Here is a 16,196-nt window from a genome sequence, read left to right on the forward strand (position 1 = left end):
ATTATGCCGCGTGGTGTTGTAGCAATTAACTTGCACATTGACTTTTGCTCTGTCATCCAGCTTGAAGTAGGTCAAAACTTCATACGTATGAATTTTGTACTTTAAAAAGATGAAAAATGTTTTACACTTAGTAGCTATTCCCTTCTCCATTGGCACACACTGGCCTTAGGCTCACGATAATATGAGATAGTCTAGATTGTCACCCAGTTTGTTAAAGGAAAAAATTCCACATTACAGGCCCATCTTATGTTTTATATCCAACCTTCATGGCCACCTGAAGTTCTCTGTGAAGTCATCGGTGCTCATATACACAGCTGGTATTTGTTGTCCCTGTTCCTGCCTCAGGAGCATTTAGCATGATCCCTGGTTCTCTTTAGCCATTAGCATGATCCCTGGTTCTCAGGTCCTCCTTAGCCCTTAGCATGTTCTTCTCAGGTTCTGGCTTCTCAGGTCCTCCTTAGCCCTTAGCATGTTCTTCTCAGGTTCTGGCTTCTCAGGTCCTCCTTAGCCCTTAGCATGTTCTTCTCAGGTTCTGGCTTCTCAGGTCCTCCTTAGCCCTTAGCATGTTCTTCTCAGGTTCTGGCTTCTCAGGTCCTCCTTAGCCCTTAGCATGTTCTTCTCAGGTTCTGGCTTCTCAGGTCCTCCTTAGCCCTTAGCATGTTCTTCTCAGGTTCTGGCTTCTCAGGTCCTCCTTAGCCCTTAGCATGTTCTTCTCAGGTTCTGGCTTCTCAGATCCTCCTTAGCCCTTAGCATGTTCCCAGGTTCTTGGTTATCTTAGCCCTTAGCATGTTCTCAAGTTCTCAGTTCTCAGGTTCCCCTTCCTTGACTCTCTTAGCCCTTAGCATGTTCTCAGCTCCTCCTTAGACTTTAGCATGTTCTCAGGTTCCTGGTTCTCAGGTCCTCCTTAGTCCTTAGCATGTTCTTAGGCTCTCAGTTCTCAAGGTCTCTTAGCCCTTAGCGTGTTCTCAGGTTCCTGGTTCTCAGGTTCTCTTAGCCTTTAGCATGTTCTCAGGTTCCTGGTGACCCCTTAGGTGCGAGCTCTGTTCCTCACACTGGGCACTCATACCTACTGCTTTGCTGATTTTCCACACTGCGTCTCTTTCTGGCTTTCTCTCATGGGGCTTACTCTGCTTAAGGGACCTCATGTGTGGGAAGAGAAGAACCAGCAGGAGAAATGAGCTTGTGGTTGCCACTCTGGTAAGCCCAAAAACAGGGCTGGGGATTCTGAAGACTTCATTCTAATGTCGCCTTTATTTCATGAATGGATGATTGGTTTTCAGCAAGTTACTCAATCTCTGGAGATTAACTGCCTTATGTAAAGAACACCAGCTACTATGTCACTGGCCCATGGTGGATTCTTGTTCAGCTGTGAAGCTCAGAATGCTCTGAATACACATGGAGTGGAGAAAGCCAGGTGACATTCTTCGTTAGTGTAGCTACCCATGCAAGAATTCAAAGGCTTGGGCAGATCACGCATTCTGTCCTTCACCACCATTTATCCAACAAATGCTGGCCCAGGGTCCATCTGGTGAAGGGCACAGGCAGGCACTAGGGGAGCCTGGTTAGAAGCAGCTCCTGGGAGTGGGGAGTGAGGATGCTGAAAGCCAACACGGTTCCTTATCATGCAGCAGGAATCAGAACATGATCCCTTTAATGAGGAATGAAACAAATCCATTACTATAAAATCGCTTGAAAATCTAGAGGTGATGGCCACAAATTAAATCCAAAATAAGACAAAATTACGAATACTAAAGAAGAGGCAAACGAGCCACAATCCACGTATGAGAAGGCAAACAAGCCACAATCCACATATGAGAAGAAAAAGCCCCACAGAGGAATCAGTCCCCTTGCTGCTATAACTCGCCCTCCGACCTGACCCAAGGGGCTTTGGAAACACCACTTGATCTTATAAAAGCTGAGTTTCAAACAGAACCAGTCTCAAAGGTCAAATTCTGAAGATAGCCATGGATTAATCAGGCAACAAAAACAAAGAGGAAGCAGGAAAGGCCCTACTCATTTAGGAAAATGGAATCCAAGACAACAAGCATTAAGGGAGATGCAGGCACCATTTAAACAACAATCCACTAATGATGGACGCCGAGGACGAGCTGACGCAGCCCCCGTGTGCTAAGCAGCAGAGCCTCAGAGCCTATGAAGCTAAACACATCAACCCCCAAAGAAAACTCACAGATTACTGTTTTTGTCTGAGAAATTTCAGAAAGTCACAATATAAATAAGGACATGTTGAAGTAATACAATTGACACATTTTTACCTAATTACACATCATATATATATAATTATAAACTATTTATAAAAGTCTGTATCCTGCAAATAGTTATACAAATATATTTTTGAAGCGCCAATTGAAGATTAAGTATGGTATCAATTAGGCCAAAGAAAACCTCAAAATTACCAAAGAGTAAAAGTTGAACAAAGTCACATTCTGACTAAAATGCAGTAGAATTAGACACTAATTTGAAGTTTAAAAACAACACATAAATATGAAAAAGTAGAAAAGCCTACCAAACATTTATTGTTTCAAAAGGATATAAAATGACAATTACAGATAATTTAGAACAAAAGCAAGTGAGAATTCATCAGTTATAGAATGATGTTAAAATTATGCTCAAAAGCAAATTATTTATGTGATTTCATTATTTTTTTAAAAATGAATAAATAGCGTAAATAAGTTTTACTGAAGAAGTTTTATTTAAAAGAGAACAGCAAAAAGAAGAAAATCTAAGAGATAATTCTTTTTAAAAATCATGTTACAAGGGTGAAAAAAAAGTGGTTTTTTTTTTTTGAGACAGGGTCTCACTCTCTCTCCCAGGCTAGAGTGCTGTGTGTGATCATGACTCACTGCAGCCTCAATCCCCCGGGCTCAGGTGATCCTCTCTCTCAGCCTCCTGAGTAGCCAGGCGCCACCACACCTGGCTAAAGAAAACGTACGTTTACAATGCAAAGGAATATAACTACACAAGTGCTGAGTAATTTTAAAAACCATAATAGTGAGAACTAAGCTCTGATTTTTTCTCTTGTCCAAATTCCTATCTAAGAGGTCTGGGAAGTCATACCCCACAAACCATAAATTCTCATCAGATGGGTTTTATTTGACCCTATATATCGTGACTGACTTTTCAGTCTGACTCTGGCAGAACATTATGAGACAAAGGGAAAAAATCAAAATATTTAACTCTAAAATATATTTCCTTGCAATACCTGGAAATTGCCCTGCAAAGTCTCTTGTGGGAAAAATCCACATTCTATAGGGATCTACTTTCCCCTTTGTTTTCCTTCCTTCCTTTCCAGATCCAGGAGATAATCAACCAAGAGCCAGGCACCCTTTTAGGTCCAATAAGAAGCATCTTACAACCTGCTTTCTCTGAAGTCTGCTAACTGAGAGCTTCCTCTGCACAATAAAACTTGGTCTCCACAATCCTTTATCTTAACTGGAACATTTTCTATTGATCCCAGGTCTTCAGATAAACTCAACGAGTTGTCAACCAGAAAATGTTTGAATTCACCTATAGCCTGGAAGCCCCTGCTTTGAGTTGTCCCACCTTCTGAACCAAACCAATGTATTTGATTGATGTCTCACGCCTCCCTAAAATCTATAAAACCAAGCTGCACCCTGAGCACCCTGGGCCCATGTTCTCAGGGCCTCCTGAGGGCTGCATCACGGGCTATGGCCACTCATATTTGGCTCAGAATACATCTCTAAAAATATTTTACAGAGTTTGACTCTTTTCATCAACAAGAGAATAGCATCCACTACACTGCATTTACAAATGTGGAAATCGCTATTAAAGGATAGCTTATAAATATCCCAAATCACACAACAGTGTAAGCATATTTTACCAATAATCGTGGAAGACAATGAAAATACTCTATAAATGAAGAACATTCCTAAAAAATATACTAGAAAGTAGATCAATGGTAAAAGAAGTTTTCCAGAAATGTTAGGAAAAAAAGAAAAACGATCACATTTCCATGAGGAAATACTGTGGGCAACTGTTGAGGAAGACGATGGGCCACACTGTTTCTTATTCTCTCCTGGGCAGGGCCTCATGGGAACCTCCCTCAGTAGGTGTCAGAGTCGGGCATGAGGAAGGCACCGGCAGGACTGGGGAGGCCTTTGGGTCAGCAGGAGGGACAGCATGAGAGGGAGTGATTGTCCCCAGGCAGTCATGTCTGGGCCTGGGGAAGAGCTGGGGAACATGCCCAGACTCCTCTGCCCTCCATGCTGGGTGCAGCTTGTTCCAAACCCCACCAAAGCCAGAGGCCCAGAGGACCCGATGGAGCTTACAGGCATGAAGCCCATAGCAGGGCAGGGGAAGGGAGTGTGGAGGAAAGGAGTCTGGAGAATATCCAGCCAATGCCTCCCTAAATGGGCCTCTGTTTTGTGGGCAGGGATAATTGCTCTTGCCTGGGTTCAACACTCACAAAGAAAGAATTTAGAAATCCAACCTACAGAATGGTAAGAGCTGTTTTTATTTGTAACCATAGCTAGTGCCATCTACGTTCCAGGCTGATAAAAATATTTTTACAAAATATAATATGTGAAAAGTTACTAGCCTGAAATATAAAGAACCTATAATAAAAGAAACAAACAGAAAAATACAAAAAGTCCTTTTTATACAGACAAAGACCATATACAGAAAATTCACAAAGAAAATTCCAATCTCGGCCAGATGTGGTGGCTCATGCCTGTAATCCTAGCACTCTGGGAGGCCAAGGTGGGCGGATCATGAGGTCAGGAGTTCAAGACCAGCCTGGCCAACACGGCAAAACCCCATCTCTACTAAAAATACAAAAATTAGCTGGGTATGGTGGCGCGCACCTGTAGTCCCAGCTACTCAGGAGGCTGAGGCAAGAGAATTGCTTGAACCCAAGAGGTGGAGGCTGTAGTGAGCCAAGATCGTGCCACTGCACTCCGGCCTAGGTGATGAAGCAAGAGCCAAAAAAAAAAAAAAAAAAAAAAAAAAGAAGAGGAAAGAAAGAGGAAAGAAAAAGGAAGGAAGGAAGGGAGGAAGGAAGGAGAAAATTCCAATCTCAAAGCATATGTATTTTAAACTTTTAATCTCACTTATAACTCATAAAACAAAGATAACATACCATTTTTCATAATAAAACTGGCACTGTTTTAAATAATAAAAACTGGCAATTTTTCCAAATGACCACATTTAACGTTGTTTAGAAGGCACAATCCAGGCGCCTCTCCATGGTTGTTGCTGAGTTTGATTTCTCAGAGGCAGGTCCTCCCTGGATTGTTCTCTATGTGGCGCCCCTTTCCTCCCACGTTTGGCAGCTTCTGTTTGCCCTGTTCTGCACCCCCCCAGAGTGAGGAGGAGCCATCCCTTGCTTGGTTTTCCCAATTCTTCCAGCCCTCTATTTTTTGCCCTTCTTGGCCGTCCAACCCATCCCTATACTTGATGGAGTTCAAGGTCATTGGGGCAGTGCACAACGCCCCCAGTGGAATTTAGAGAGGAGTATAAGGAGTTTGAACACATCCAAAATAGAAATTCAACACAGCTCAAGTTGAAAACATTTTGGTGGGTTTTTGTTTGGTTTCCTACAGAAAAGTCTTACAGACTATAACAGCACATTCTCTTTGATAAAGGAGGTATTAAAGGTAGATACACCAGGCACAGAAGCACAAAGAGGCAGCCCCTGCCCTCAGTGTGCGCCGCGTGCTGAAGTCGCAGCCCCTAACCTCAGTGTGCGCCATGTTCTGGGGAAAGACGCAGCCCCTGCCCTCAGCGTGAGCCGCGTTCTGGGGAAAGACACGGCCCCTGCCCTCAGCGAGCGCCGTGTGGTGAAGACGAAGCCCCCGCCCTCGGTGTGCGCCGCTTGCTGGGGAAAGACGCAGCCCCCGCCCTCAGTGTGTGCGGCGTTCTGGGGAAAGAAGCAGCCGCCGCCCTCAGCGTGCGCCGTGTGGTGAAGACGAAGCCCCCGCCCTCGGTGTGCGCCGCTTGCTGGGGAAAGACGCAGCCCCCGCCCTCAGTGTGCGCCGCGTTCTGAGGAAAGAGGCAACCCGCGCCCTCAGTGTGTGCGGCGTGCTGGGGGACGGTTACCAGTTCTCCACACGTTCTCACTCTTGATCCTGCCAGGACACTTAACTGCTTTCCCTATCAGATGGCCATGAGCATGAAAGCAGATATCTAAATTTTGTGTTACTGGAATCTTTCTAAAGACTATGACTCTAGAATTGTCTGTCAGGGAAAAATGAACTTTTCAAACTAAACCTTTAGGAAAGGTCATTTTCATGTTTTTTTTTAAAAAACATGAAAAATAGCACAATGGCTCAGGAATCCGACAGTGCCAGCTTTCTTACTGTGGTTTGTCTTTAGACTAATTTTTTAACCTCCCTATGACTCAATTTCCTCACTTTCAAGAATCGGTATGACATTAGTCCATGGTATGTATGACATTACCACATCGTTTGTATGACATTAGTAATTACCACATAGTTTTGAGTACAAAATAAGATAATATGGAACAATATATTTAGCTCAGTATACGTTGCTATGCTCTGGGAAAGGATGATAAAGACTTTCACAATTCTGTTTTTTGTCTAAAGCAAAAATAATTTCTTACTGAGAAATGAGAATTCTCGACTTATCTGCTTTCGACCAAGGCCTTGAAGATGCAGGATTTTTCTAAGAGTCTCATGGAAAAACGAAGAACCCCTGGGCATGTCTCTTACTGGAGGGTCACCCCAATATCGCTTTCTCTCATGGGAACCAAACTTTTCCTTACAGACATCCTAACTTTCTGAAACGTCTGCACCAGAAAGATGGTGGGTGCTTTGCTACATTAAAACAAACAAACAAACAAATAATAAGTGTAATGGCTATGGACTGTGTCCTGGGAGCAAGGAGCAACAAGCCACGTCCACACTTACCTGGCTGGGCTGGATGCTTCAGGACGCCTCAGGTAGGTTTTCGGGAGGTCTGCAAGTTCCTGGTCCATCACATACTGAGTATAGTCATCCTGCCACGTGAAACCTGTGGACAAAAATTGCAAAAATTATGTCATCATTTTGGAAATTTAGCCAAAGCTCTTGCTTCAGTCTCACAATTAGTTGCATTTCAGCATTAAGTTGATGGTCCCATCAGCAAAGTAAGCCTCCCTCTCACTGCAGTTTATCAAGATCTCCTTACAGAAATTCCAGCTTTCTGAAACTTCTAGGCCAAAAAGAAAACTGATGCTCTGCTGCATTAATAGTAATAAAAAGGCTTGGGTGAGAGTGGAGAAAGCTGGCCAAATAGAAGCCTCTACCAATCATCCTCCCTGTAGGAACACCAAATTGAACAACTGTCCGCACAGCAAAGCACCTTCATACGAACCAAATTTCAGGTGAGTGGTCACAGTACCTGGTTTTAACTCCATATCATTGAAAGAGGCACTGAAGAGGGTGGAAAAGATCATTTGGAATTGCTGATGTCACCCCTCACCCATCCCCCTGCAGTGGCTGTGTGCCCCAGAGAGAGAACGCATGCACTTGGGAGAGAGAGCACAGTGATAGTGGGACTTGGTATTGGAACTCGGTGCTGCCCTGTCACAGTAAAAACAACAGGCAAAACTCAACCAGAGCCCATGGAGGGAATATTTAGACCAGCCCTAGACAGAGCAGTACCACCCATCCCAGTGGTCAGAATCTGAGTTCTGACAAGCCTCACCACCATGGGCTAAAGTGCTCTGGGGTCCTAAATAAACTTGAAGGCTGCCTATGATGGAAGGACTACAATTCCTGGGCAAGTCCTGGTGCTGTGCTTGGCTTGTAGCCACTGGACTTGGGGTGCAGACAACCTAGTAAGGTACTAGCTGGCACAACTAAGGGTGCTAGTGTCACCCTTCCCTCAACCCTAGGCAGCACAGCTCACAGCTCCAAAAGAGACTCCTTCCTTCTCCTTGAGGAGAGGAGAGGGAAGAGTAAAGAGGACTTTATCTTACAACTTAGATAACTGCTCAGCCAAGTAGGATAGGGCACTGGGCAGAGTCATGAGGCCCCCATTCCAGGCCCTAGCTCCCAGGTGACATTTCTAGACACACCTTGGGCCAAAGGAAAACCCACTGCCTTGAAGGGAAGGTCCCAGTACTGAAAGGATTCATCATCTCCTGACTACAGAGCCTTTGGGCCCTGAATAATCAACAGTGGTACCCAGGCAGTACCCCATGGGCCTTGGGTAAGACTCAGAGATGTCCTGGCTTCAGGTCTGATCTGGTACAGTCCTAGTGGTGGGGTGGCCACAGAGGTGCTTGTGTCACCCGTCACCCAGCTCCAGGAAGCTCGGGGAGGGGGGGAGAGAGAGAGACCGTCCGTTCGTTTGTCTCGGAGAATGTAAGAGAAAAAAAGTCTGCCTGGTAATCCACAAAATTCTTCTAGATTGTATCCAAGACTGCCAAGGTGATACATCTGTGAGTCTGAAACAGCCATGAAATTACTGGGCTTTGAGTGGCCCCTAATGCAGATATGGCTGCAGGGATTAAAAACGTAGATCACAGAACCAAAGTCTTTTCTTTTTTTTTTTTAATTTATTTATTTTTTATTATTATACTTTAAGTTTTAGGGTACATGTGCACATTGTACAGGTTAGTTACATACGTATACATGTGCCATGCTGGTGTGCTGCACCCACTAACTCGTCATCTAGCATTAGGTATATCTCCCAATGCTATCCCTCCCCCCTCCCCCCACCCCACAACAGTCCCCAGAGTGTGATGTTCCCCTTCCTGTGTCCATGTGATCTCATTGTTCAATTCCCGCCTATGAGTGAGAATATGCGGTGTTTGGTTTTTTGTTCTTGCGATAGTTTACTGAGAATGATGGTTTCCAATTTCATCCATGTCCCTACAAAGGACATGCACTCATCATTTTTTATGGCTGCATAGTATTCCATGGTGTATATGTGCCACATTTTCTTAATCCGGTCTATCATTGTTGGACATTTGGGTTGGTTCCAAGTCTTTGCTATTGTGAATAATGCCGCAATAAACATACGTGTGCATGTGTCTTTATAGCAGCATGATTTATAGTCCTTTGGGTATATACCCAGTAATGGGATGGCTGGGTCAAATGGTATTTCTAGTTCTAGATCCCTGAGGAATCGCCACACTGACTTCCACAATGGTTGAACTAGTTTACAAAGCAATGGCAACAAAAGACAAAATTGACAAATGGGATCTAATTAAACTAAAGAGCTTCTGCACAGCAAAAGAAACTACCATCAGAGTGAACAGGCAACCTACAAAATGGGAGAAAATTTTCGCAACCTACTCATCTGACAAAGGGCTAATATCCAGAATCTACAATGAACTCAAAACAAATTTACAAGAAAAAAACAACCCCATCAAAAAGTGGGCAAAGTCTTTTCAAATACCTGGAAAGCCTTCCCAAGAAGGATGAATACAAACAAGCCGAGATTTTAGCGACTACAATAAATACCTAACTCAGACACCAACAAACATCCAAGAGCATCAAGACTATCCAGGAAAACATGACCTCACCAAACGAACTAAATAAGGCACCAGGGACCAATCCTGGAGAGACAGGGATAGATATGTTACCTTTCAGACAAAGAATTCAAAATAGTTGTTTTAAAAAAATTCAGTGAAATTCAAGATAACATAGAAAAGACAATCAGAATCCTATCCGATAAACTTAACAATGAAATTAGAATAATTAAAAACAATCATGCAAAATCTCTGGAGTTGAAAAACATAACTGACCCATTGCAGAATGCCTCAGACTCTCTTGACAGCAGAGTTGACCAAGCAAGACAAAGAATTAGTGAGCTTGAAGACTGGCTAGTTGAAAATATGCCGTCAGAGGAGACCAAAGAAAAAAGGATTTTAAAAAATGAAGCACACCTGCATGATCTAGAAAATAGCCTCAAAAAGACAAATCTAAGATTTATCACCCTTAAAGAGGAGGGAGAGAGAGAAAGAGGTAGAAAGTTTAGTTGAAAGGATAATAATGAGAACTTCTCGAACCTAGAGAAAGATGTCAGTGTTCAAGTATAGGAAGGCTATAAGAACACTAAACAGATTCAACCCAAATAAGACTACCTCAAGACATTTAATTATCAAACTCCCAAAGGTCAGGAATGAAGAAAGAATCCTAAAATCTGCAAAAGAAAATAAACAAACAAACAAAAATACAATGGAGCTGCAGTACATCTGGCAGCAGACTTTTCAGTGGAAACTTTACAGGCCAGGAAACGGGATTGTTATTTAAAGTGTTAAAGGAAAGAAACCCTTTTATTCTGAAATTGTATATCCAACAAAAATGCATTTCAAATATGAAGGAAAAATACTTTCCCAGACAAACAAAAGCTGAAGGATTCCATCAACAGCAGACCTGTCCTATAAGAAATGCTAAAGGGATTTCTTCCGTCTGAAATAAAAGAATGTTAGTGAGCAGTAAGAAATCATCTAAAGGTACAAAACTCACTGGTAATAGTAAGTACACAGAAAAACACAGAATATCATAACACTGTAATTGTGGTGTGTAAACTGCTCATATCTGGAGTTAAAAGACTAAAAGATGAACTTATCAAATAACTCCAACAACTTTTCAGATATAAAGATATAAATAGAAACAACAAAAAGTTAAAAAGTAGGGGGATGAAGCTAAAGTGTAGAGTTTTTATTAGTTTTCTCTGTGCTGGTTTGTTAGTTTGCTTATGTAATCAATGTTAAGTTGTCATCCGTTTAAAATAATGGGTTATAAGATGTTATTTGCAAGCCTTATTGTAACCTCAAATCAAAAAACATAAACAGATACAACAAAAAGTAAAAAGCTAGAAATTAAAACATACCACCAAAGAAAATCACTTTCACTTAAAAAAAAAAGTAAGGAAAGAAATAAGAAAGAGAAGACCACAAAACAATCAGAAAACAAATAACAAAATGGCAAGAGTAAGTTCTTACCTATCAATAATAACAAATACACATGGACTAAACTCTCCAATCAAAACACACAGAGTGGTTGAATGGATTAAAAAAAAGACCCAATCATCTGTTGCCTATAAAAGACACACTTCACCTATAAAGACAAATATAGACTAAAAAGAAAGGGATGGAAAAAGATAATCCGTGCAAATGGAAACCAAAAAAGAGCAAGAGTAGCAGTACTTGTATCAGACAAAATAGATTTCAAGACAAAACTAGCAAAAGAGACAAAGAAGGTCATAATGATAAAGGGGTAAATTGAGCAAGAGGACATAACAATTGTAAATATATATGTACCCAACACTGGAGCATCCAGATATATAAAACAAATTTTATTAGAGTTAAAGCAAGAGACAGACCCCAATACAGTAACAGCTGAAGACTTCCACATGCCACTTTCAGCACTGGACAGATCATTGAGACAGAAATTCAACGAAGATATATTGACCAAGCTGCACTGTTAACCAAATGGACTGAATTGACATTTACAGAACATTTCATTCAATGGCTATGAAATCCACATTCTTCTCCTCAACACATGAATAATTCTCAAGAATAGCCCATACATTATGGCAAAAAAATGCATCTTTAAAAATTCAAAAACAAACTGAAATTATATCAAGTATCTTCTCTGACCACAATGGAATAACACTAGAAATCAATAACAGGGAAAATTTTGGAAACTATACAAACACATGGAAATTAAACAATATGCTTCTGAATGACCAGTGGGTCAATGAGGAAATTAAGGAGAAAATTTAGAGATTTCTTGAAACAAATAATAATACAAACACAACATACCAAAAACCTGTGGGATGCAGCAAAAGCAGTACTAAGAGGAAAGTTTATAGCTATAAGCAACTACATCGAGAAAAAAGAGAATACCCTCAAACAATCTAATGATGCATCTTTTTTTTTTTTTTTTTTTTTTGAGACGGAGTCTCGCTCTGTCGCCCAGGCTGGAGTGCAGTGGCGCGATCTCGGCTCACTGCAAGCTCCGCCTCCCGGGTTCACGCCATTCTCCTGCCTCAGCCTCCCGAGTAGCTGGGACTACAGGCGCCCGCTACCACGCCTGGCTAATTTTTTGTATTTTTAGTAGAGACGGGGTTTCACCGTGTTAGCCAGGATGGTCTCGATCTCCTGACCTCGTGATCCGCCCGCCTCGGCCTCCCAAAGTGATGCATCTTAAAGAACTAGAAAAGCAAGAGCAAACCAAACCCAAAATTAGTAAAAGAAAAGAAATAATAAAGATCAGAGCAGAAATAAATCAAGTTGGAATGAAGAAAACAATACAAAAGATCAATGAAACAAAAAGTTGGTTTTTGAAAAGATAAAATTGACAAACCATTTTCTAGTCTAAGAAAAAAAGAGAAAAGACCCAAATAAATAAAATCAGAGATGAAAAAGGAGACATTACAACTAATACTGCAGTAATTCAAAGGATCATTAGAGGCTACTATGAGCAACTACATGCCAGTAAATTAGAAAACCCAGAAGAAATGGATAAATTCCTAGACACATAGAATCTACCAGGACTGAACCATGAAGAAATCAAAAACCTGAACAGATCAATAACAAATAATGAGATTGAAGCTGTAATAAAGTCTCCAAGCAAAGAAAAGCCTGGGACTTGATCACTTCACTGCTGAATTTTACCAAATATTTAAAGAAGAATCTTGCTCAAACTATTCCAAAAGATAGAGGAGGAGGAAACACTTCCAAATTCATTCCATTAAGCCAGTATTACCCTGATACCAAAACCAAAGACACATCAAAAAATAAAACTTCACGCCAATATCCCTGATGAATATTGATGCAAAAATCGTCAACAATCGTCAACTGTCCTGGGGATAGGACAGTCTCTTCTATAAATGGTGCTGGGAAGACTGGATAACCACATGCAGAAGAATGAAACTAGACTCCTATCTCTTCCTATACAAAAATCACATAAAAATGGATTAAAGACATAAATCTAAGACCTCAAACTATGAAACGACTAAAAGAAAACACTGGGAAAACTCCCTAGTACACTGGATAGTGTAAAGATTTATTTAGTAATACCCCATGAGCACAGGCAGCCAAAGCAACTTGAGTAATGCTCCACAAGCACAGGCAACCAAAGCAAAACTGGACAGATGGGATCACATCAAGTGAAAAAACCTCTGCACAGCAAAGGAAACAATCAACAAAGTGAAGAGATACCCACAGAATAGGAGAAAATATTTGCAAAGTATTCATCTGACAAGGGATTAATAACCAGAATGTATAAAAAGCTCAAACAACTCTGTAGAAAAAAATTTCAATAATCTAACTTTAAATGGGCAAATAGATATAACTCTGAATAGACATTTCTCAAAAAAGACATTCAGACGGCAAACAGGCGTATGAAAAGGTGCTCAACATCACTGATCATCAGAGAAATGCAAATCAAACCTACAATGAGATATCATCTCACCCAGTTCAAATGGCTTTTGTCCAAAAGACAGGCAATAACAAATGCTGGCGAGGATATAGGAAAAAGGGAACCCTCATACACACTGTTGGTAGAATTGTAAATTAGTACAACTATTATGGAGAGTAGTTTGGAGGTTCCTTAAAAAGCTGAAAATAGAGCTATAATATAATCCAGCAATCCCACTGCTAGGTTTATACCCAAAAGGTAATCAGTGTATCAAATTGATATCCACACTCCCATGTTTATTGCAGCACTGTTAACAACAGTGAACATTTGGAAGCAACCTAAATGTCCATCAACAGATGAATGGATTTTTAAAAATGTGGTACCTCTACACAGTGGAGTACTATTCAGCCATAAAAAGGTGAGATTCTTTCATTTGCAACAACATGGATGGAACTGAAAATCATTATGTTAAGTGAAATAAGCCAGACATAGAAAGACAAACTTTGCATGTTCTCACCGATTTGTGGGAACTAAAACTTAAAACAACTGAACTTATAGAGAGTAGAACAACAGCTACCAGAAGGAAGTAACCATTGTTACTGGGAAGGAAATTGGCAGGGGGCGGGGGGCAAGTGGGAATGGTTAATGAGTACAAAAATACAGTTAAGTAGAATGAATAAGATCTGGTACTTGATAGCACAACAGGGTAACTACAGTCAACAATAATTTATTGTACATTTACAAATAACTAAGAGTATAACTGGATTATTTGTAACACAATGAAAGGATAAATACTTCAGGTGATGAACATCCCATTTACCCTGACGTGATTATTATGCATTGTATGCCTGTATCAAAATATCCCATGTACCCCATAAATATATACACCTGTGTACCCACAAAAATTAAAAATTAAAAAAATAGACTTAATGGGTGCTGACTATGGCTAGACAGCAAGGAGCCTTACACCAAATACAAGTTTAGTTAGAAGACAGATTTTTATCTACTATGAAAGATGGAAACATCTTCCATCTACATGGAAATATTGTGGTCACAGCAAAGATACTCCTCATCCACAATAAGCACATAGTACCCGCCACTCACCCACTCCTCTACCTGCCCGCCACCATATCTTAGGTATTTTGTTCTTCCTAACAAAATCTTAAAAGACAGCAATTGGAATGGAATAAGGGGTATTGTTACTGTGAAAGCAATTATCATGGGGCTTAATGTACTGTATCCGGGAGCCAATTACATTATATTTATACTCAAATGTTATGACAAAGAGCTTTATAACAAGGGTGAAGTAGTTATGAAGGCAAAATCCATGTGATTATGCATTAATTACATGCACTGTGGATCACATGATAATTATGCTCAAAATTACCAAATAACTCTCAAGAATAATTATTATGCAATTTGTACATGTTAGATCTTATGGTAACACTTTAGCACTTAGAACTACCCCATGCAATTATCCATAATTATCTAATCACTAAATATCATGTAATTACAGAGATATATTTTTATGCCCTGTACAAAAACACATTACCAAAATCTTCAAATCAGGATGGCTCTGTGCTTGTGTGTGTGTGTGTGTGTGTGTGTGTGTGTGTGTGTGTGTGTGTGGCGTAGGAAGTCCAGAACATGATGAGAACCACATATTCTGGATGGAATTAAAAGAGCTCAGTAAATATAAGCTATCTTCATGAACACACAAATATTTTTTTCACATGCAAATCTAGATTTTTTAAATGTTATAGACGGCAAATTAAAGCAATTGTCATATTTCTAAATCTCAAAAGCCTAAATGGCATTACCTGAAGTGAAGAATGATAGGAAAATTCACCATTAGGATGGCCTCCAACTTACTCTAAGCTGCTCTAGTTGGAATATATCACTTAGAGTATAGGTCGCTGCAGAAAACAGGCCCCACACTCACTACTATCCAATTTAAGATTAAATGTACTTAATAATAATCAAGTCTATCCCATTTGCCAAAGCAACTTAAAAACACCCACTATGAAATGTACTTTTGTTTATATAGCTATTTCTGATCCATTCTTGGGAGTATACTCAACTGAAAGCACATTTGCAATGTTAGTATAATATCTATTATTGTGGATTTAGAAATAAGGATATTTTAACCACGCCATTCCTAAAAGGGATTCTCTTAATATTAATATTTATCAGGAAACAGAAAATCAATGGCACAAAAAGAACTTTTCATGAAAAATATCATTTATAAAATTTAAATAACTAAAATTTAAAAATTTTTATCTAAAAATCATATAAGTCTGAGTTATGTCAACTTTGGGATCTATGATAAAGGCTCAGTTCTTCCAGAACAACAGTTGGTCAACTACTCAGAATCATCTGTACTGGGCAGTCTGAGAGGACCCTGTATACCTTAGCCCAGCCATCTCAGCCTTCCCGGAAGTCAGAAGAAACTGTGCTCTTAGATATAAAAAACAAACAAAACAATGCAGAGGTATGGGAGTTTAAGCATCTCCTATGAACTTCTGTCCGTGGCATATCTTGGAGAAAATATAACCCTGGGAAGAAGGAATCCACTCCCAGAGATGACATACGTCTTCCCACTAAGTACAACTAAAATCTCTGAGCATACGTAAAACAAGCATAAGACTCTGAAGGATGGCAATACGAAGGCAGAGCAGAGAAGGACATGGTGGTGGATTCCCTGGGTTTTCTTTTTGCCTCAGGTACCTCAGACTTGGAGTCAAAGAGGCCGCAATCCGGAAACACCAGCGTGTACACACACACACACACACACACACACACACACACAACTAAAGCAGCCTCTCTCTAATCAAGGAG

General features: G+C 40.5%; 1 protein-coding gene across 14 annotated transcripts in view; it reads right to left on the reverse strand.

Moving 5' to 3' along the window:
- PTPRN2 (protein tyrosine phosphatase receptor type N2) overlaps nt 1-16,196 on the reverse strand; it is a 1,048,768-nt gene that overhangs the window by 659,210 nt on the left and 373,362 nt on the right. For all 14 annotated transcript variants that reach the window (XM_047420678.1, NM_130842.4, XM_047420679.1 and 11 more), the window contains one exon: nt 6,906-7,008. In XM_047420678.1, the coding sequence (XP_047276634.1) occupies nt 6,906-7,008 (103 nt within the window). The remainder of the gene's footprint in view (nt 1-6,905; nt 7,009-16,196) is intronic.

This window comes from Homo sapiens, chromosome 7, assembly GCF_000001405.40.
Source record: "Homo sapiens chromosome 7, GRCh38.p14 Primary Assembly".
Lineage (NCBI taxonomy): Eukaryota > Metazoa > Chordata > Mammalia > Primates > Hominidae > Homo > Homo sapiens.